This window comes from Homo sapiens, chromosome 7 (assembly GCF_000001405.40).
Source record: "Homo sapiens chromosome 7, GRCh38.p14 Primary Assembly".
In the NCBI taxonomy this organism is placed as follows: Eukaryota; Metazoa; Chordata; class Mammalia; order Primates; family Hominidae; genus Homo; species Homo sapiens.
This window is the reverse complement of record NC_000007.14, coordinates 120,235,007-120,259,322: the sequence shown is the minus strand read 5'-3', so window position 1 is coordinate 120,259,322 and position 24,316 is coordinate 120,235,007. Positions and strand designations below refer to the sequence as shown.

The following is a 24,316-nucleotide window of genomic DNA, read 5'->3' as shown; positions in this document are numbered from 1 at the left end:
CTTATAGCTAATGATTTGAATAAAATAAAATAAAAAATATTAACTTAAAAGAATATCATTTCATAAATATTTCTTTTTGTCCAAGATCTCATTTTCCTAAATGGGATGATGTTTTACATGTCTTAATAATTTTTTTAAATGCAATCCACATTATTTTATCTGAATTTATTGAGCCCAGTGATTATAAATGTTACTAATTAATAGTTTTATTAATTTTTAGGACATATATGAATCTCTGTGTGGGAAGTTTCCAAGATTTATCACAGATAAATTTATATTATAGAAATACAAAATGGCTAATAATATGGGACTCAGTGACTTTTCACTCAATAATTTTTCTCACGCTGATTTTTATTTGCCCTGACTGTTGAGTTAATGTGTCTTCTTCTCAGTCATACTTTGAATGAGCTATGCATCACAATGCAGATTAAATAATAAACATTTTTTATAGTGATGGAATTTTCCCCAGATGCCTTATGTGTTGCTTGGAAAAGATGTGCTTCATTGCAGGTCAGTAAAATGGAAAAATACATGACTGAATCTGAATCTTAGGATTTATAATGTCTGCAGGGACCTTTTCATTTAGGAGAAAACATTAAGAAAGACACAACCTACCTTGCAACCAATATTATGAATAAAGAAATCACGAGGGTAATTGCTTTAGAGAAAGTAACTTAGTACTTTTTGAATCAAAATTGCAAATATTATATGTTATTTTAAAAAGATGAAAATTCATTTTGGGGATGTTAAATCAATTCCTCTATTTCAGGTACTAGTAAAATATTAAATAAGCAAATACAGACAACTAAATAAAAAACATACACACTTAACAATGATGTTGAAGGTTAACATAAGATAACATATATTTGAAATTATACACGAATGTGAAAGTAATGTATATTAGATTTTAAGATTCTTACCGTTTTAAATACACGTTTTTGAACTTTTATGTATATTAACATTTTCATAAATTTAGATAATGTTCTGACAATTTTCACTTTGCAGAAATTTTGATTGTGTATATTTTTCAAAAGCCTTTATTATTCTTTTTTAGCCTTGATTTCTATATCTCTGTATTAGTTCATTCTAACATTGCTAGAAAGAACTACCTGAGACTCAATATTTATGAAGAAAAGAGGTTTAATTGCCTCACAGTTCTGCAGGCTTAACAGGAAGTATGCCTGGGTGGGGGGTGCTCAGGAAACTTAACAATCATGACAGAAGCCAATTGGAAGCAAGCACAACTTACCATAGCAGAGCAGGAGAGAGAGAGTGAAGGGGGAAGTGCCACACACATTTAAACCATCAGATCTCATGAGAACACACTATTAAGAGAACAGCAAGGGGGGCATCCACTTTTATGATTCAGTCACCTCCTACCAGGCCCCTCTTCATATTTGACACATGAGATTTGAGCAGGGACACAAATCCAAATCATATCATTGCACCCCGGCTCTTCCCAAATCTCATGTCCCTCTCCCATTACCAAATACAATTGTCCTTTCTCAACCGTCCCCCAGTATTAACTCATTTCAGCATTAACTCAATAGTCTACACTCCAAAGTCTCAGCTAAGACTTTGGTGCAAGGTAAGTCCCTTTCACCTATGAGCCTGTAAGGTCAAAAACAAGTTATTATAATTATTTCCAAGATACACTGGGTTTACAGGCATTGGATAAATGCCATTTTAAATGGAAGAAACTGGCCAAAATGAAGGGGCTAACAGACCCCATGCAAGTCTGAATCCCAGCTGGGCAGTCATTAAATCTTAAAGTTCCAAAATGATCTCTTTTGACTCCATGTCTCACATCCAGGGCATGATGATGCAAGGGGTGGGCTACCAAGGCCTACGGCAGCTCTTCCCCTGTGACTCTGCAGGGTACACTCCCTCCCATAGCTACTTTCAAGGGATGGCATTGAGGATCTGCAGCTTCTTCAGGTACACGATGCAAGCTGTTGGTAAATCTGCCATTCTGGGGTCTGGAAGACAATGGTCCTCTTCTCACAGCTCCACTAGGCAGTGCCCCAGTAGGGAATCTGTGTGGGGCTCCAACCCCACATTTGCCCTCTGCACTGCCCTAGTAGAGGTTTTCCATGAGGGCTCAACCCCTACAGCAGACTTTTACCTGGACATCCAGGCATTTCTATACATCCTCTGAAATCTAGGAGGAGGTTACCAAACGTTGATTCTTGCCTTCTGTGTACCTGCAGGCCCATCACCATGTGGAAGTGGCCAAGACTTGGGGCTTGCACCCTCTGAAGCCATGACCTGAGCTATACCTTGGCCCTTTTAGCTATGGCTGGAGCTGGGGTGACTGGGATGCAGGGCACCATGTCTCAAGGCTGCAAAGAATAGCAGGTCCCTGGGTCTGGCCCAAGAAACATTTTTTTTCTCCTAAGCCTTCAGACCTGTGATGGGTGGAGCTGCTGTGAAGATCTCTGAAATGCCCTAGAGACATTTTCCCCATTGTCTTTGTCATTAGCATTCAGCTCCTCTTTACTTATGCAAATTTCTGCAGCTGGCTGCTTGAATATCTCCCCAGGAAAAAATTTCTTTTTCTCCCACATGGTCTGGCTGCAAATTTTCCAAACTTTTGTCTGCCTCCCTTTTAAATGTAAGTTCTAGTTTTAGGTTATTCCTTTGTTTATGCAAAGGAGCATAGGCTTTTAGAAGCAGCCAGGTCTCATCTTGAATGCTTTGCTGCTTGGAAATTTTTTTTGCCAGATACCCTACATCATCTCTCTCAAGTTTAACATTCCACAGATCCCCAAAGCAGGGGAACAATGCTGCCAGTCTCTTTGCTAAAGCATAGCAAGAAAGACCTTTGCTCCAGTTCCCAATGTGTTCCTCATCTCCATATGAGAAGGCCTCAGCCTGAATTTCATTGTCCATATTACTATCAGCATTTTTGTCACAACCATTCAACAAGTTTCTAGTAAGTTTCAAACTTTCCCACAACTTCCTGTCTTCTTCTGAGCCCTCCAAAGTGTTCCAACCTCTGCCCATTATGCAGTTCCAAAGTAACTTCCACATTTTCAGTTATCTTTATAGCAGTACCCCACTTCTGGTACCAATTTTTGAATTTAGTCTGTTCTCACACTGCTATAAAGAACTACCTAAGACTGGGTAATTTATGAAGAAAAGAGGTTTGATTGACTCACAGTTCCACAGGCTTAACAGTAAGCATGGCTGGGAGGTGTCAGAAAACTTACAAGTGGCCAGGCGCAGTGGCTCACTCCTGTAATCCCAGCACTTTGGGAGGTCAAGGCAAGTGGATCACCTGATGTCAGGAGTTTGAGACCAGCCTGACCAACATGGAGAAACCACATCTCTGCTAAAAATACAAAAATTAGCCTGGTGTGGTGGCACATGCCTGTAATCCCAGCTACTTGGGAGGCTGAGGCAGGAGAATCACTTGAACCTGGGAAGTGGAGGTTGCGGTGAGCCGATATCATGCCATTGCACTCCAGCCTGGGCAACAAGGGTGAAAGTCTGTCTCAAAAAAAAAAAAAAAAAGAAAAGAAAAAAGAAAACTTACAAGCATAATGGAAGGCGAAGGGGAAGCAAGCACATCTTACCATGGCAGAGCAGGAGAGAGAGAGAGAAAGAGAGAAAGTGAGAGAGAGAGAGAGAGCACAAAGGGGGAAGTATCACACACTTTTAAACCATCAGATCTCATGAGAACTCACTATCACAAGAACAGCAAGGGTGAAATCTACCCCCACGATCCAATCATCTCCCACCATACCCCTCCTTCAATTTGACATGAGATTTGGACAGGGACACAAATCCAAACCATATCCATCTCTCATTATAAATTCACTGTTTTATGTACCAAGTCCATACTTTGGGCCGAGGTCTGTCTAAGCACTCATAATACAAAAGCCAACTAAACAGAGTAAGCTTGACTGTCCTGGAGGTCACATTCACATTATAAGGAAATGTTCTATTAATGCAAGATGTACCGCTTACGAATAATTTCATTTACTTTGTTCAGAATACTGTTGCCTTTTAACCACTTCAATACTATATGCCCCAAAACTACAAGTCATTTTCTTTTGTTCATTGTTCCATAATGTGGGTGGAAAGTCACATTATACACACATTGGTGAGGAAGTCATGTGATAAATGCACCTAACTAACAATTGGTAGCAGTTTTCAGGTGGGAGCTTGGGCAGGACTTAGGGCTCAAAGCCTCACCTCCTTTCCATGCAGATCTCTCCATGTGGTTTGGGCTTCCTCACAGTGTGATGGCTGAGTTCCAAGGGCACCTATCCAGAGCAAGAGCTAGACAGAAACTGTGTTGCTTAGATGACTAATTTTGGCTGTCACATAGTGTCACTATCAGTTTATTATTGCTTCAACAGGCCCATTCAAGGTCAAAGCGAGGGGAGTTCAATACTACCCTATAATGGCAGAGTGGCAAGATGCTAGAAGATGATGTGAAACTGGAAATATTATTGCAGTTGTTTCTGAAAAGTACAATCTATTACAACTGTAATGTATGGGAAAATATTACCATATTTCTGAGGTATAAGTTTTTGTAATGTTTATAAAATAATGAATGAACAGATACTAAAGATTTGAACTTTTTCAAAAAACCCCAGGCCTTATAGCACAAAAATGGTCTTTATGGAGGAGGTGCAGTTACAGCAACACATCAGGACTCATTACTCACATACTTATTCATAAACCATGGGATTGTATTAGTCTGTTTTTACACTAGTGTAAAGAACTTCCCTGAGACTGGGTAATTTATAAAGGAAAGAGGTTTAATTGACTTACAGTTCCACATGACCAGGGAGGCCTCAGGAAATTTACAATCATGGCAGAAGGGGAAGCAGGCATCTTCTTCACAAGGCGGCAGGGGAGAGAAGAGAGGGGAAATCACCACTTATAAAACCATCAGATCTGGTGAGAACTCACTATCATGAGAACAGCATGGAGGGAACTGCACCCATGATCTAATCACCTTCCACCAGGTCCATCCCTCAACACATGGGGATTATGGGGATAACAATTTGAGATGAGATTTGGGTGGGGACACAGAGCCAAACCATATCAGGTAAAATCAAGTATAAACCTCCATTCCTGTGTTCCATTTTAGTCATTGAAAGGATGTGGTTGCTTAAATGTAGTAAAACTCTATATGAGTAATGGTTTACTATTAGTAGAAATGGTAACTTGAATAAACTGGCCTGAAAGATAGACATTATAATAAAAGTTCACAGTTAGAATAAATATGAAAGGATATATATTAATACATTTGACTGTAAGAGTCAACACTAACACTTATGGGTGGGATTTTAAACTAGGTTTATCTTTTACACATAGACATGAGTAAAGATGCATACATCCATAAAAATCAAATAGTGATCCTGTGTTATACCAAAAATATCATTTGTCAATGTCTTATCACTGGAAGATAACATTATCTAGATTGTAGTTGAGTTAGAATCAATTATTTTTCCTTTCACCATACATTTATTGAGTGTTTATGATCAAGGGAATGTTTGTCACAGATTGTCAGATATGGCAGGGATCCTACCTCTAAGGCTCCTATAATATGGTAAAGGTAGCAAAAAATTAAGAATGGAACATATGAGCAATATATCACAGGAACACGGAGAAGAAAAAATGAATTCTGACCTAGGTGAGAAGATAAATACTTTCATCCGTTGAGATTGAGTGTTAGGATAATAATGAGAGGAACCATTTTTAGATAATAAAGTGGGAAATTTGGAGTGAGGGAAAAATGTCATTCCTTTCAAAAATAACAGTGTGGCCATTGGATCTATGATAAAAGGGTAAAAGAAGAATTTGAATTTGGATTTCTTCTGTGTTAAGGCAATTAAAATTTAGTAGTTACCCTTGTAAGTAAAGGTAAACTATTTGTAACAAGGTATAAAGTTACTCTCAAATCTATTAATTTTTCCTCATTCCTATTCTACTATGAACCCTCTTAGCTTTCTAAAATTGGCCTTCCTGCAACAGTTTCTTTTTCCTCCTGGATAAAGTCTGCAGTGCACAGTGATATTTTGGAAATTAAAGATTAAAGAAAAAGTTTTACTTCACTCCGCTTAATCTTTGTTTAAGAGCTCATCATCGCTTGGAGCATAAAGTTACAATATTATCTGCTATGGCCCCACTTAATTTTTTGCAACTGTGCACCTCCCTCCTCTTCCCCACAACCCCAAAACCACCATTAACGTACACATGCTGTAATATAGTCATGTCACAACACTGCAGATTTTAGTCTTGTTTTTGGTTGTTGTCATTGTTTGTTTGTTTCTTACTTCTTTGCACACATTGTGGCTGATTTCCTCTCATTTTAATGCCATTCCTCTCCTTTCTCTATCTGGCAACTTCTTATTCATATATATCCTACTCTTTACATTGTGTGCTTCCTCCCATGGAACCTTATATTTGTATAATCATATTTATCATATTTTACATTATGCAAGAATGAAATAGTATTTGTCTTTGCACCTCACATGACAGACAGAATAGGTGCTTTCTTCTGACCCTAAGTACAGTACTTTTTACTGCTTCATGCCACATTACCTCTTAAAAACAGGAAAACAGGGGAAGCATTTATCAAGTGACTACACATAATTTAAAACAAGCCAAGTTATAAAAAGGTAATAAAACATCATTTTAAAAAAAAACTTTGACTCTATCCATCATTTTAAAGCCACGTTTATAGGCATAGATATTAATGAGAGAATGTGGAATTAACTGAATGACCTAAATGGCACTATAAAAATAATTTACTAGTATAAGTTTAACACAAACATTCATTGCTTATATGTGGATTTCTGCTTCACAATTAACTAAGTTACTTGGAATTCAGGATGGTGAATGGTAATGCTATCTTTTCCAAATTTATTAGACTTGTATGAAACTCTCTGTCTTCAACACTTTGGTGGCATTACTCCTACCCATGAATAGAATATTGTTAGTGAATTTCCACTTATAGTAAAAAAATGTATTTTAGGAAAGAAAAATATAATTTGACTTCAAGTCACAAACTGCAGAGTGTCTAGACTCTACATAGATATATTCTCTCATCAATTTCTGTTTATAAAATATACTTGTCATTGAATTTTTATGTTTAGGCAGACTCTTACAATCTTTAGGCGGATTACATTAAGCTATTGAGCCCATTCAAATGTATGTCAATAGGGATATATTCAGCTATATACAATTTTACACTCATTTGAGCAAAATAGAAAAATCTGCAGAAAGCATACAACACATAAAACTGTAATGTTGGAGCTTGAAAAATTGAACAAGTGGATAATATAAGCAGTCATTAATGTACATTTAAAAAATCTTTAATAAAAACTACTATGACTAATCCTCAACTTACCAAAGGTTTTTGAATGAGATGTATAAAAAATACAGCAGATTGTAAACCACCCAGTCCAACAAAATCTTTTTAATATGTGTATTATTCAACTGGGAGCCACAGATAATCTAGATAATGCATTGAACAGTGGAAGTAATCAGCACCTCACAACATACTGTTTTCATTTTTATGGGGTAAAAACCTGGATGCACTGTGCTTTAGTCCTCAAATCATTTTCTGATGGGATATCAGTAAAACTGGCCTGAGTTTTTGACTTATATAACAATGTGCAAACACTTCTAATAAGAGCAAATGTAATCATTAAAAAACTATTATGATGACTTTAATTGATGGAAACAAAGTAAATGTTTTATATGCAAATAGTAATTATATGTCTTTTCTAGTCTAACCTATATTGCCATAGTCACTGACTTGTAATTAGTTCAATGCTTATGGACCCAGCAAAGGTGGTAATTTCTGGAAACAGAAAGGAGAAAGGGCAAATATTTGGAAGCAACTGAAATTCAAACATTTTTCATAAAATATCTCCATAAATCTCTATAAATTCCCATGAAAATATTTTTCAGGTTGGATACAGTCTAACTGTGGGACATTTACAGAGTTCTAATAACTTCTGTGTTTCTTTTCATATTCAAACAGGTTAATTTCATTTCATATACAGTAGAATGCAAGAATACCATGAACAGAGTATCTCTTCTAAATATAAACTTTAATAGCAGAACATTTATTTCTGAAGGAAACATGACAGCAGGAATGCGACAAAGACATGGGTTTTCTCCTCTGCTAAGTCTAATACTTGTATTTTGAGGTATCTTGGTATGTTGGTAGAGAGATGGGTTGTTTGAAAATGGGACTATGAAAACCAGCTTATCTTCAGCGCTGGCCTAAGTAGATGTCACGCCCACAGAACATGAAAGGATGTGATTGTAAAAGATATTGGTCTATAGAATTATTTCCTTGTAATAGCTTTATCTGGTTTTGCTATCAGAGTAATGCTGCCCGCATAAAATAAGGTTGGAACTGGTTCCTCTTCCTCTATTTTCAGGAAGAGATCTACTAGTGTATTATTATTTCTTCCTTAAATGTTTGACAAAATTCACCAATGAAGCCATCTTGGTATGGAGTTTTTTCTGTGGGAGGAAGTATTTAATTACAAATTCATTACAAATTATGTGTAAAGCTATTACCTTCTATTTAATATATATAAAATTATATGGACCAGTCATGGTGGCTCATGCCTGTAATCCCAGCACTTTGGGAGGCCGAGGTGGGCAGATCACTTGAGGTCAGGAGTTGGAGACCCGACTGGCCAACATGGTGAAACCTTGTCTCTACTAACAATATAAAAATTAGCCAGGTGTGGTGGCAGGCTATAATCCCTGCTACTTGGGAGACTGAGGCAGGATAATTGCTTGAATCTGGGAGGCGGAGATTGCAGTGAGCAGATATCATACCACTGCACTCCAGCCTGGGAGACAAAGTGAGACTCCATCTCAAAAAAAAAAAAAAAAAAGAAAGAAAAGCAATTGTATGGTATTTCACTTATATGAAATAGAAAGTGTTCATATCTATTGGTAATGAAATAATATTTGTCCATCAGGCAATTTGTCTATAATCTTCAAAGTTTCAAACAGTTATTGGGGATAAATTTGCTTATACTTATTTCACCCAATATGAGCAGAATCTGTAGTGATCTTCTGTCTATAATTCTTAATATTAAAAATGTGCCATCTCTTTTTATTTTGACAATTATAGCTACAGGTTTATAAATTGTACGGATTTTTCAATTTTGAGGGCTTTTTATCACCCTTCTCCACTGTGTACTCATTTGCATCTTCATTGATTTCTGCTATTTACTATTTTTTTTCTTTGCTTAGGTTAGGTTTAATTTTCTTTGTAAAGAATCTTATTAAGGCAAATGATCAGATTTCTTATTTTATGCATTTCTTATTTTTAAATGTAAGTGTATGTAACATACATTTTCTTATAGCGAATGCATTAGTTGCATCCCAGCTTCAGCTGCAAAATTTAATTTTGTTATATTAAATTTTCTGTTTGAGTTTACTTTTTCCTGAATTTCTCTTTACCCTACATGATATTTAGGGTAATATTTACCCTACATGATGTTTGTTAATTTCCAAAATTTGGCAATTCTCCAAGTAACTTTATTATTGATTTATTGATTAATTCCATTTTGGTTAGAGAATATACATTGCACGGCTAGGGTTCTTTAAAATTCATTATGATTTATGTTGTTAAATAGAATATGGATTATTTTGGTGAATTTTCCATGTGTAATTCAAAGAATTTGTATTCTGCTATGCTTTGGTGGAATGTACTATAGATACCAATTAAGACAATTTGAGTGATAGTTTTTTACTTTTTTCAGATCAGCTATATTCTTACTGATTTATCTGTACTTTATCCATTACTGAAGAGAGGGTGGTGAAATCTCAAAGTATAATTTTAATTTGTTTATTTCTCCTCAGTTATGTCCCTTTTTGCTTATGTATTTTGGAACTCACTTATTTGGTACATACACAACTGGGATTATATTGTCATCTTGATTGATTGATCTCTTGGTCATTATGAAATATCACTATTTCTGTTAACACTTTTGTTCTAAATTATATTTTGCCTGATATTAATATAGTGTTTCCAACATTTTATGTTAGCATTTGCATACTTTATATTTTTATTTTTCATTTAACTTATTTGTATCTTTCTATTTAAAATGCATTTTTTTCAGAGGCATTAGTTGAGATTGCTTTTTAAATGCAGTCTGAAAATCTCTGCCCTTTAACTGGAATTTTCAAACCATTAACATTTAATGTAACTTTGAATGTTTAGGTATAAATATACCATCTTGCTCTTTGTTTTCATTTTTTTCTAACTAGCATTTGTCTACTTTATCTCTTTCCCTACATTATTTTTTCATGACTTTAGTATTTTTCAAATATAATTTTATTTACACTATTGTTTTTAAAGGTCAATCTGTGTTTTATTTTAAAGTTATTTTTAACATTCAACTTTATTTTCATTATCAACTTATTATCTATAAATTTTTTTGTTAATACTGTTTAAGAGTGTAAGACATACATCTTTACCTAATTACAGTATGCCTTGAAATATTGTATCACTTCTCATATATGATACTTAAGCACCATACTTCCATTTTTACCCTCCTGTTTTCATGCAACTTTTGTCACAATGTTTGTTTCTACTTAAGTGACATGATCTTCAACGTATGCTTTTGGGCCTTTTAAAGGAATTAGAAATAATGAAAACTATTTTTGTTTACTCACATATTTATTATTTTAACAGTCTTTATTTCTTTCAGGAAATACAACTTTCTGTCTGTTATCATTTTCTTCCCACCCAAGGAACTTCCTTTAACAGTTCTTGTGATGTTTGTCTGTCAATGACACATCCATTTAGCTTTTATCAAAATTTTTTTTACTTCACATTTATTTTTGAAGTAATTTTTTATTATATACAGTATTCAATGTACACATTCCTGTTTGCCTATAAAGTTGACTTTAATTCTTTTTCAATTTGTAAGACTTTTATTTTGCCAGGCTTTTACTTTTAGTACTCTAAAGCTATTCCATTGTCTTTTGGCTTGCATAGTTTGTTTAAGATGTCTGTGATTATTTTTATTTTTCATATAGGGTTCACTGTACATAATGATTTAGTAATTTTTTTCTGGCCTCTTGTAAGAATTTCTGTTTATCTTTGGTTTTAGAAATTTAATTTTGCTGTGGTGTGTATGTGTGTGTGCCCTGCCTAGGGCTCATTGAGCTTTTGGATCTGTGGGTTTACTAATTATTTTAGCATAGTTAGAAGAATTTTTACTATTATGTCTTTACATACTTTCCTGCCAACTCTTCTTCCTAAGAATATATTTGTATATATGATAGACAACTTGATATTTTCCTATGGGCCACTAAAACTGTGTTCCTTTTTCATTCTTTATTACTCTGTTTCATTTTGGATAGTTTCTATTGCTGCCTTTAAGATTATTGATTTTTTTGTAATATCTGATTTGCTATTAAATCCTATCTCGTTATTGTATATTTCACATTAAAAAATTCCATTAGGCATTTCTTATATTTTCCATTTATTTTTCTCAATAGGTTCACGTTTTTATTTAAGTATTTTAACACATTTGTAATAAATTTTTTAACATCTTTGTCTTTTAGTACCACCATCTTTGATACTTCTGGGCCTTTTTCTATTGGCTGTTATTTTTCTTTTGGTTATGGGTCACATTTTCTTGCTTCTTTCCTTTAAAGTATATTTTGATTGTATGCTGTAGACTGTGAGTGTTTTATAGTTGTATTTCTAGATTTTGCTGTATCTTTAAAGAATGTCAGTTTTAACTTTTTATGTATTTAAATTATTTGCAGACTCTTTGATCCCTTTGAAGTCTGTATTTACTCATTGCTCATGCATGGCTAGCATAGGCTTTGTTCTAGGGAGCGCTCAGCACTACTACTAAGGCACTGATCCTCTGGCTACTTTGCTGAATGCCCTGCCTGGTCTTAACCAAAATGTTTATGAAATGTTGGTGGTAAAGTGGAAGCAATTAGGCACTGTATTAATTTTTTATTCCTGAATAACAAATTGCCACTAATTTAGCACTTAACATAATATTTATTTATTATACCATAGTCTGCTGGTCAGAAGGTCAGCACAGTGTGATCATGTTTTCTGCTCAGGGTATCACAAAGCTGAAATCAAGTCATTGGCTAGGCTACATTCTTGCCTGGAGGCTCTGGGAAAAATCTACTTCTAACCTCATTCCTGTTGGTAGAATGCAGTTCCTTGACATATATAAGGCTGATAAACCCATATTACTGATTGTGAGCCAGTGCTGTCTCGATTCTTATAAGCCAATTATTTTCCTTGTCGTGCAGTCCTCTCCATCTTGGAACAAGCAGTAGGGCATGAAGTCTCTCTCATATTTTTCATGCTTTTTGTGAATTATATTTCTGTGACCAGTTAGATAAAACTCTCTGCTTTAAAGAGCTTTCTTGAATAAGTTAGACCCACCTGGGTAAACTAACTTTCTTAAAGTCCACTGTGCCGCATAATACAATGATGGACTATAATCCATCATGTACACGGTTCTGTGGATTATGTTCACCCCAGAATGGAGAAATTTCAAGGCCATCTTAGAATTCTACCTACCACAGCACTAAAGTGTGAATTTTTTGTTTTTGTTTTTTTAAGTGGAAAAGATTAAAAGTTGTATCATGAGAATGTATATAGTGTGTGTATCTCTTTTGGAGCAGTAGGAGATGATGGAAACATTGAGGCCACTGATCTGACTAAAGCGTGATTTATCTTTCTTGAAAATACTAAGAAAAATGGGATTGAATTTATGAAATATCTTGAAAGTCAGGCAAGGACTTCTGGCCTTGATGTAATTGTTAATAAAAAGTTCAAAAAGCTGGGCACGGCAGCTCACACCTGTAATATCAGCACTTTGGGAGGCCAATGGGGGAGTATTTCTTGAGCTCAGGAGTTTGAGGCCAGCCTGGGCAACATAGTGAGACACCATCTCATTTTGTTTTAAATTAAAAAATAAAAAGTTCAAAAGCAGGGACAAGGTATGATAACAGATTTGTTTTATGAACATTAGTCTGAAGACAGGATAAATTGGAGAAGAAAAATCTGGGGCTTTAGTACCAGAGATCACTTATCATTTTTTTGCCTTTTAGTGAATTCACTGACATTTACAGAACAAAGGGAATTTTAAGTCATTTCCATAACATGTAAAATATCTCAGCCTTAGTATTATATAAACATATGATTTAGATTTTTTCCCACTATTTAGTAGAGTGTTTTCTTCTTGTTCTGTGGTTTAATGTTCTACTAAAATGTTTCCATTGAAGAGCAGTGGTAGCAACCTTGAGCAAGTTATCTAGTCCCTGCCATTTCCACATTTCCGTGACTGTTAAATGGGCTAAAGGGGGTGGCTTCCAGAAAGGTCTAACACAGAGCCTGACACTTAAATGACCTCAAGACTATATTGCTTCAGACTTTTGATATACTCTCTCAAATATTATTGAGCATCGGCTACATGACAGAGAGCATTCTATGCAGTGAAGGTGCAGCAGTGAACAAAATAAAGTTGCTGACTTCATGGAATACATAGTCTTCTGTGATGAGAAAATAAACAGGTAAATAAATACATAAATATAAATACAAAAAGTATGGATAAATTCTATGAAGACAATGAAGAAAGAATGGAGAAAGTGGAGACAGACCCACAGATACAGACACACACACACACACACACACACACACACACACACGAGAGAGAGAGTGATTTTTAGCTAGGGAGGTCAGGGTGGACCCCTCCAGTAATGTGCCCTTCAAGCAGAGAACTTAAAGAAGTAAGAGAAAAGTAAATGTGAATATTTGGAAACAGAGTGTTCCAGGAAGATAAGAGAAAATTCTAAAGCCAAGAGAAAAGGGCCTCATTAGCATTTTTAAGCAAGAACAGGGAGACCAGCATGCTTGGAAATGAGTAAGAAAGGAACAGAATGATATGGGATAAAGACAAATTGGTAAGAGAGACAGGTTCAGATTAACAGGGTGTTGTGGCCATACAAATACTTAGACTTTTACCCTGAATATTCTGGGGAAACACTGGTCAGTAGAGAGGAGGCATTATATGATAAACTCACATGCTGGATATCAGGTTCAATTATATATATATATATATTCCCCCTTGAAGTTACCATTGAGAAACACAGGTGTCTGATAACATTGAAGTATTAGTTTTAGAGATGTGGTGGGATTTTTATGGTTTTGCGTTTTTTTGCACTACCATTAAATGCTTATGTTACATAAATGCTTATGTTTCTCCATCTCCCTCATGCTTCTGGATTACAGTTATCTTTATGGGAATGTGACCTGTGCAAATTGTATCATTCTGGTTTAATGCTCTGCAGTAACTGTCTTTAAATCCTTAATTATTACATTGTGATTTGATGTTTTGTAAGTGAAATATGATGGGTAAATGGTTCATGTGAATGACCAGAAGATATGCACAGGAGAAATAAAAATGTTTTATACTTTAGTGCCTTTTTCTGTTTTTCTGAATAAGAGCCCCATATTTTCATTTTGCACTGGGGCCCATCAATTATGTAGCTGGTCTTGCTTATTTAACCTTAGTTCCCAGCTTTTCTTCCTTATATGGATGAAGGATCAGATGAGGGCATTTTATTAAATACTATAATGGACACAAAGGAATAATTGCTCCATTCAGGTATTTTTGGGGAATAAAATTTTACACTCTCCCATCAAATATTTAAGTAGAATAAACACTTGGGCTACAGAGAAAAAGAAGGTAAGACTTCACTTCTGGGCAATTTACACCTACAAAAGGGCTCAGCTCTTTATTGACCTTGTATCCTACTAATTCTTTTTGCAAGGTATGGGACTGTAAACATCTTAAATAATCATGACTTATTAATTATCTTTTGAATATGTATTTTTGCTGAGTCCTCTTCTAAACACTTTGAGAGTGAGCATTAACTCATTTCAGCAATAACTTTATGAAGTAGGTATTGGTAGAATTCCCATTAAATAGATGAAGAAATAATTAAACAGATAGATTAAAATACATTTCCAAGATTATACAACCAGAAATTAGTGGCAAAGCCATAAAATAAAATGGTGCCAGGCCAGAACCTATACCCTAAATCTTATTCTGCACTAAACAATAACACAGCTAGCAAAACAGTTCCATGGGAGTTTAGGAGAGAAAGTTGTTTTCTGTGCTGACCTTAGAAGCAAAAGTCAGTCCTCGCCAGACACAATTATGAAAGAATAGAGGCAAGGAAACATTGTTATTCATCATTTTAATGACATATATGTATAACTTAGAAGCTGAAAAGAAACTTAGTTGTTACCTAGTGCAAGTCACTCTTTAAAATTAAGAACATGGGACACAAACAATAATTGATTCTAAAAAGTTAACACAGCTAATTAGAGAGAAGTTTGGGAATAAAACTGTTTCCTGATTTCTGCTCCACAGCAGTTACTCAAAACCTCCTACTTTGCACACATACTGGACAGATTGTTCTATTATGTGCTATTTGCACAAGTCTCAGTCTTCTCCAACAGTGCTGTTCATCATTCTGAGGGCAGGAACTGCAGAATATTGACTACAGTTCCCAGAACAAAGATAAATTATACCTACCAGATGACCAAGGATGTTATCTTGTAGTGTTTGCTCTTTTGTTGTGTTATATTTAAGAAATCAACAAGTACGGTACATTAATTTCAATTAATGAAATGTAAGAAATTTCATTTCATAAAATTTTGAGTATATAGCATAAGCTGTGATCTATTCCAGGTGACAGAAATACAAAGGTGAATTGTATATGATAATTCAAAACAGAGTTACTGGAACACATCATCCTGCCTTGCTATTTGATGGCTTTGCTTAGAATGCCCTCTCCAATAATATCTGTAATAATTTCAACTGCTTTAACCTCTCAGAACCCTTCCTTTACCCCAGAGCTGAGGTGGATGGAGCTTAAAATTATGTTCTTTCTATACCCCATCTGCCTTGTTCCCACCTCCATTGTAGCACTTAGCATACCATATTGTGTCCTGTTTATAAAAGCTTACCACTCCTGCTAGGCTTGAACATTGGGAGGTCACTCGCAAATTTTCATATTTAAATTTGCATCCTCATCCAAACACAACTGAACCCAAGCAAAATAACTGATACATAATAGTTACAGAATATGCATGCATTGAATGAATTAAGCAATGTTAAATAAATATTAATATGTTTTGATCTCAATAGATAAATGAACTTAAAAATTTGGGAAAAGTGCTTTTCAAAAACCATTGAATTAAACTGATAATGTAATAATAAAGTACTGACTGTTTACTTGGTTCTTGTTTCTTCTCCTTCCTTTTAAGATTATCAATAAATCGTGAGACTTGTGTAGATTAAATCAATAAAAGCAGATTTTACCTTAATTTGAGGTTGAAACAGTTCCAACACTCATTTCTGAATGGATCATTGAGTGCATGGAATGTATCATTTGGATAATCTAACACAAATTTATTGAAATGGCTTCATGTCTACTGAGCTGGAATTTAAATGGCATGCGGATGAACCAGAATAGAGACACCAAGTAAGCAGAGAAAGTGGAAATCCTGAGACATTATTTAAAGGAAGAAATGGTGAAATTGATTGGCAGGTTGGATAAGGCAAAATAATGTAGGAGACAGGAAATGGACTAGTGTCTAACCTCAGCAATCAGAAGAGTGATAGACCATTAAGGAACAGGAAAAGATACATACCCTGGGAAGAAAGACAAGTTTATATATGGACATGCTTATTTTGATATAGCAGCTGATCATTCATATACATACATACACATTTGATTTCTCCAGAAAACCCACTAAAACAATAAAAGGATACATTTACTAAGATATAGATTCACAAGATCAGAAAAAAAGGAAAGGAAACCTTGCCAACACAATTTTCGAAACTGAATTGCAGAAATACAAGTGTTAAGTTAACTAGCATTCCTGTTAAAAGTAAAATTTAAACCAGCAATAGGGAATACCAAGAAACAATCAAGTTTATATCACATAATCCCCAAAACTCTTGTCACTTACAGGTTTTTCTGAAAATGAGAGAGATTTGAAATCAGGAGAATTATTTTAAGGCTGTTTCACAAGCAGTCAGGTTCCTAGTTCACTCTCAACTTATTGCAGCTGGGTGACTTCCCCTGCCAGACACCAAGAGCAGAGCAGAAGAGCAGGTAAATCAGAACATGCTCTGTTTTTTTCTCTGTGTTTCACATACAAGCTATATTTTTCCTTCTGCGTCTGGCTTATTGCATGTAGAGTGTCCTCCAGGTCCATCTATATTGTGGCAAATGGTAGGATCATCTTTTTAAGGCTGAATATTTGTGTGTGTGTGTGTGTGTGTGTGTGTGTGTGTGTGTGTGTGTGTGTATGCAGTTGTCCCTCAGTATCCATGGAGAATTGGATCCAGCATGCCTGCAGATGCCAAAATCCAAGGATGCTCAAGTCCCCTACATAAAATGGCATAGTATTTGCATATAATCTTCACATATCCTTGGTCTTCAGTGTAGCTACATCACTTGGATAGAAAACTTAAAGGTTTAAACTACAGTGGTTTTCTAAATAATAAATTGCCCAATTTAAATATTTACTTCCTGTAGTAATCATATTGAAGCTTTAATTCCTTGTTAAATGAGAAGCACAGTGACAAATATTCATCTCTTTCAATAGCCCCCCAAAATTTTAAACAGTACCTCCTTTAAAGTGGTAATTGTTGAAAATTACTGAAATATATTAGAAAGTTAAAATTCTTTAATGATAATTTCAAAATTAGATTTTATCATGATGCTACATTAGTTTTTTTGGATATATGATTTTATTTTACTACTGTTATAGTAGATATATTATTAAAGTGTAATTGTTTTTAAGTGTTCAAAATAAAAGAACCCAAATTTAACTTTCAATTTTTATGGGAAAAAAATAGAAAGAGAAAGAGTTATGTTGGGGGCAAAGCCTCCAGTTTCCCTCTCCAGTCTATAGGTGTTTATCAGTTAGGCCATGCTATACATTTTATGTTCATTCTGATTTTTAACATAATGTTATATAATGAGAATTATTCCATGTTATGATATATTTAGAAAAACAAGATGAACAATTTATTAGTTTTTAATAATAGAAGAGATAAAACTTATTTGAGAATTGTATCCAGGTACAGTGACTACTAATCAGAACTTGATTACATTTTTCAACATACAATATTAATGCATAAAAATAAAATGAAATACTTAATTTGGAATGGCATGTAAAGCATAGGAGATGGGAGAGTGACCTGTTTTGTATCTTAGGCTCCACTGCTTGCTAATTGTACCTAAGTCAATCAACAAAAAATCAGATTTTAGACTCCAGGAGCCAAGATGGCCGAATAGGAACAGCTCCAGTCTACAGCTCCCAGTGTGAGCGAGGCAGAAGATGGGTGATTTCTGCATTTCCAACTGAGGTACTGGGTTCATCTCACTGGGGTGTGCCAGACAGTGGGTGCAGGACAGTGGGTACAGCGCACCATGCACAAGCCGAAGCAGGGCAAGGCATCACCTCACCTGGGAAGCACAAGGGGTCAGGGAATTCCCTTTCCTAGTCAAAGAAAGGGGTGACAGATGGCACCTGGAAAATCAGGTCACTCCCACCCTAATACTGTGCTTTCCCAATGGGCTTAAAAAATGGCACACCAGGAGATTATATCCCACACGTGGCTCAGAGGGTCCTATGCCCACGGAGTCTCGCTCATTGCTAGCACAGCAGTCTGAGATCAAACTGCAAGGCAGCAGCGAGGCTGGGGGAGGGGCGCCCGCCATTGCCCAGGCTTGAGTAGGTAAACAAAGCAGCCCGGAAGCTTGAACTGGGTGGAGCCCACCACAGCTCAAGGAGGCCTGCCTGCCTCTGTAGGCTCCACGTCTGGGGGCAGGGCACAGACAAATAAAAAGACAGTAGTAACCTCTGCAGACTTAAGTGTCCCTGTCTGACAGCTTTGAAGAGAGTAGTGGTTCTCCCAGCACACAGCTTGAGATCTGAGAATGGGTAGACTGCCTCCTCAAGTGGGTCCCTGACCCCCGAGTAGCCGAACTGGGAGGCACCCCCCAGTAGGGGCGGATTGACACCTCACACGGCCGGGTACTCCTCTGAGACAAAACTTCCAGAGGAACAATCAGGCAGCAGCATTTGCGGTTCACCAATATCTGCTGTTCTGCAGCCACTGCTGCTGATACCCAGGCAAACAGGGTCTAGAGTGGACCGCTAGCAAACTCCAACAGACCTGCAGCTGAGAGTCCTGTCTGTTAGAAGGAAAACTAACAAACAGGAAGGACATCCACACCAAAAATCCATCTGTACATCACCATCGTCAAAGACCAAAGGTAGATAAAATCACAAAGATGGGGAAAAAACAGAGCAGAAAAACTGGAAACTCTAAAAATCAGAGCACCTCTCCTCCTCCAAAGGAACGCAGCTCCTGACCAGCAACGGAACAAAGCTGGACGGAGAATGACTTTGATGAGTTGAGAGAAGAAGGCTTCAGACGATCAAACGACTCTGAGCTACATGAGGAAGTTCGAACCAATGGCAAAGAAGTTAAAAGCTTTGAAAAAAAAATTAGACAAATGGATAACTAGAATAACCAATGCAGAGAAGTCCTTAAAGTACCTGATGGAGCTGAAAACCAAGGCACGAGAAATATGTGACGGATGCAGAAGCCTCAGTAGTCGACGCGATCAACTGAAAGAAAGGGTATCAGTGATGGAAGGCGAAATGAATGAAATGAAGTGAGAAGAGAAGTTTAGAGAAAAAAGAATAAAAAGAAATGAACAAAGCCTCCAAGAAATATGGGACTATGTGAAAAGACCAAATCTACGTCTGATTGGTGTACCTGAAAGTGACGGGGAGATTGGAACCAAGTTGGAAAACACCCTGCAGGGTATTATCCAGGAGAACTTCCCCAGTCTAGCAAGGCAGGCCAACATTCAAATTCAGGAAATACAGAGAATGCCACAAAGATACTCCTCGAGAAGAGCAACTCCAAGACACATAATTGTCAGATTCACCAAAGTTGAAATGAAGGAAAAAATGTTAAGGGCAGCCAGAGAGAAAGGTCGGGTTACCCACAAAGGGAAGCCCATCAGACTAATAGCTGATCTCTCAGCAGAAACTCTACAAACCAGAAGAGAATGGGGGCCAATATTCAACATTCTTAAAGAAAAGTATTTTCAACCCAGAATTTCATATCCAGCCAAACTAAGCTTCATAAGTGAAGGAGAAATAAAATCCTTTACAGACAAGCAAATGCTGAGAGATTTTGTCACCACCAGGCCTGCCCTACAAGAGCTCCTGAAGGAAGCACTAAACATGGAAAGGAACAACTGGTACCAGCCACTGCAAAAACATGCCAAATTGTAAAGACCATCAAGGCTAGGAAGAAACTGCATCAACTAACGAGCAAAATAGCCAGCTGACATCATACTGACAAGATCAAATTCACACATAACGATATTAACTTTGAATGTAAATGGGCTAAATGCTCCAATTAAAAGACACAGACTGGCAAATTGGACAAAGAGTCAAGACCCATCAGTGTGCTGTATTCAGGAAACCCATCTCACGTGCAGAGACACAGATAGGCTCAAAATAAAGGGATGGAGGAAGATCTACCAAGCAAATGGAAAACAGAAAAAGGCAGAAGTTGCAATCCTAGTCTCTGATAAAACAGACTTTAAACCAACAAAGATCAAAAGAGACAAAGAAGGCCATTACATAGTGGTAAAGGGATCAATTCAACAAGAAGAGCTAACTATCCTAAATATATATGCACCCAATACAGGAGCACCCAGATCATAAAGCAAGTCCTTAGAGACCTACAAAGAGACTTAGACTCCCACACAATAATAATGGGAGACTTTAACACCCCACTGTCAACATTAGACAGATCAAGGAGGCAGAAAGTTAACAAGAATACCCAGGAATTGAACTCAGCTCTGCACCAAGTGCAACTAATAGACATCTACAGAACTCTCCACCCCAAATCAACAGAATATACATTATTTTCAGCACCACACCACACCTATTCCGAAATTGACCACGTAGTTGGAAGTAAAGCACTCCTCAGCAAATGTAAAAGAACAGAAATTATAACAAACTGTCTCTCAGACCACAGTGCAATCAAACTAGAACTCAGGATTAAGAAACTCACTCAAAACTGCTCAACTACATGGAAACTGAACAACCTGCTCCTGAATGACTACTGGGTACATAACGAAATGAAGGCAGAAATCAAGATGTTCTTTGAAACCAATGAGAACAAAGACACAACATACCCGAATCTCTGGGACACATTCAAAGCAGTGTGCAGAGGGAAATTTATAGCACTAAATGCCCACAAGAGAAAGCAGGAAAGATCTGAAATTGACACCCTAACATCACAACTAAAAGAACTAGAAAAGCAAGAGCAAACACATTCAAAAGCTAGCAGAAGGCAAGAAATAACTAAGATCAGAGCAGAACTGAAGGAAATAGAGACACAAAAAACCCTTCAAAAAATTAATGAATCCAGGAGCTGGTTTTTTGAAAAGATCAACAAAATAGATAGACCGCTAGCAAGACTAATAAAGAAGAAAAGAGAGAAGAATCAAATAGACTCAATAAAAAATGACAAAGGGGATATCACCACCGATCCCACAGAAATACAAACTACCATCAGAGAATACTATAAACACCTCTACGCAAATAAACTAGAAAATCTAGAAGAAATGGATAAATTCCTCGACACATACATCCTCCCAAGACTAAACCAGGAAGAAGTTGAATCTCTGAATAGAACAATAACAGGCTCTGAAATTGAGGCAATAATCAATAGCTTACCAACCAAAAAAAGTCCAGGACCATATGGATTCACAGCCGAATTCTACCAGAGGTACAAGGAGGAGCTGGTACCATTCCTTCTGAAACTATTCCAATCAATAGAAAAAGAGGGAATCCTCCCTAACTCATTTTATGAGGCCAGCATCATCCTGATACCAAAGCCGGGCAGAGACACAACCAAAAAAAGAGAATTTTAGACCAATATCCTTCATGAACATTGATGCAAAAATCCTCAATAAAATACTGGCAAACCAAATCCAGCAGCACATCAAAAAGCTTATCCACCATGATCAAGTGGGCTTCATCCCTGGGATGCAAGGCTGGTTCAACATACGCAAATCAATAAATGTAATCCAGCATACAAACAGAACCAAAGACAAAAACCACATGATTATCTCAATAGATGCAGAAAAGGCCTTTGACAAAATTCGACAACCCTTCATGCTAAAAACTCTCAAGAAATTAGGTATTGATGGGACGTATCTCAAAATAATAAGAGCTATCTATGACAGACCCACAGCCAATATCATACTGAATGGGCAAAAACTGGAAGCATTCCCTTTGAAAATGGGCACAAGACAGGGATGCCCTCTCTCACCACTCCTATTCAACATAGTGTTGGAAGTTCTGGCCAGGGCAATCAGGCAGGAGAAGGAAATAAAGTGTATTCAATTAGGAAAAGAGAAAGTCAAATCGTCCCTGTTTGCAGATGACATGACTGTATATCTAGAAAACCCCATCATCTCAGCCCAAAATCTCCTTAAGGTGATAAGCAACTTCAGCAAGGTCTCAGGATACAAAATCAATGTACAAAAATCACAACCATTCTTATACACCAATAACAGACAAACAGAGAGCCAAATCATGAGTGAACTCCCATTCACAATTGCTTCAAAGAGAATAAAATACCTAGGAATCCAACTTACAAGGGATGTGAAGGACCTCTTCAGGGAGAACTACAAACCACTGCTCAAGGAAATAAAAGAGGATACAAACAAATGGAAGAACATTCCACGCTCATGGGTAGGAAGAATCAATATGGTGAAAATGGCCATACTGCCCAAGGTAATTTATAGATTCAATGCCATCCCCATCAAGCTACCAATGACTTTCTTCACAGAATTGGAAAAAACTACTTTAAAGTTCATATGGAACCAAAAAAAGAGCCCGCATTGCCAAGTCAATCCTAAGGCAAAAGAACAAAGCTGGAGGCATCACACTACCTGACTTCAAACTATACTACAAGGCTACAGTAACCAAAACAGCATGGTACTGGTACCAAAACAGAGATATAGACTAATGGAACAGAGCAGAGCCCTCAGAAATAATGCTGCATATCTACAACTATCTGATCTTTGACAAACCTGAGAAAAACAAGCAATGGGGAAAGGATTCCCTATTTAATAAATGGTGCTGGGAAAACTGGCTAGCCATATGTAGAAAGCTGAAACTGGATCCCTTCCTTACACCTTATACAAAAATTAATTGAAGATGGATTAAAGACTTAAATATTAGACCTAAAACCATACAATCCCTAGAAGAAAACCTAGGCAATACCATTCAGGACATAGGCCTGGGCAAGGACTTCATGTCTAAAACACCAAAAGCAATGGCAACAAAAGCCAAAATTGACAAATGGGATCTAATTAAACTAAAGAGCTTCTGCACAGCAAAAGAAACTCCCATCAGAGTGAACAGGCAACCTACAAAATGGGAGAAAATTTTTGCAGTCTACTCATCTGACAAAGGGCTATCATCCAGAATCTACAATGAACTCAAACAAATTTACAAGAAAAAAACAAACAACCCCATCAACAAGTGGGCGAAGGATATGAACAGACACTTCTCAAAAGACGACATTATGCAGCCGAAAGACACATGAGAAAATGCTCATCATCACTAGCCATCAGAGAAATGCAAATCAAAACCACAATGAGATACCATCTCACACCAGTTAGAATGACAATCATTAAAAAGTCAGGAAACAACAGGTGCTGGAGAGGATGTGGAGAGATAGGAAGACTTTTACACTGTTGGTGGGACTGTAAACTAGTTCAACCATTGTGGAAGTCAGTGTGGGATTCCTCAGTGATCTGGAACTAGAAATACCATTTGACCCAGCCATCCCATTACTGGATATATACCCAAAGGATTATAAATCATGCTGCTATAAAGACACATGCACACGTATGTGTATTGTGGCACTATTCACAATAGCAAAGACTTGGAACCAACCCAAATGTCCAGCAACGATAGACTGGATTAAGAAAATGTGGCACATATACACCATGGAATACTATGCAGCCATAAAAAATGATGAGTTCATGTCCTTTGTAGGGACATGGATGAAACTGGAAACCATCATTCTCAGTAAACTATCACAAGGACAAAAAACCAAACACCACATGTTCTCACTCATAGGTGGGAATTGAACAATGAGATCACATGGACACAGGAAGGGGAACATCA

The 24,316-nt window shown here is 36.6% G+C and overlaps 2 annotated features.

Moving 5' to 3' along the window:
• Window positions 1,686-2,364: an enhancer, noted in NCBI's record as "OCT4-NANOG-H3K27ac hESC enhancer chr7:119897013-119897691 (GRCh37/hg19 assembly coordinates)". NCBI's record gives its function as "activates a minimal SCP1, AML or CMV promoter by ChIP-STARR-seq in primed H9 embryonic stem cells {active_cell/tissue: H9 hESC(primed)}" and the evidence as "EXISTENCE:reporter gene assay evidence [ECO:0000049][PMID:30033119]".
• Window positions 2,365-3,044: an enhancer, noted in NCBI's record as "OCT4-NANOG-H3K27ac hESC enhancer chr7:119896333-119897012 (GRCh37/hg19 assembly coordinates)". NCBI's record gives its function as "activates a minimal SCP1, AML or CMV promoter by ChIP-STARR-seq in primed H9 embryonic stem cells {active_cell/tissue: H9 hESC(primed)}" and the evidence as "EXISTENCE:reporter gene assay evidence [ECO:0000049][PMID:30033119]".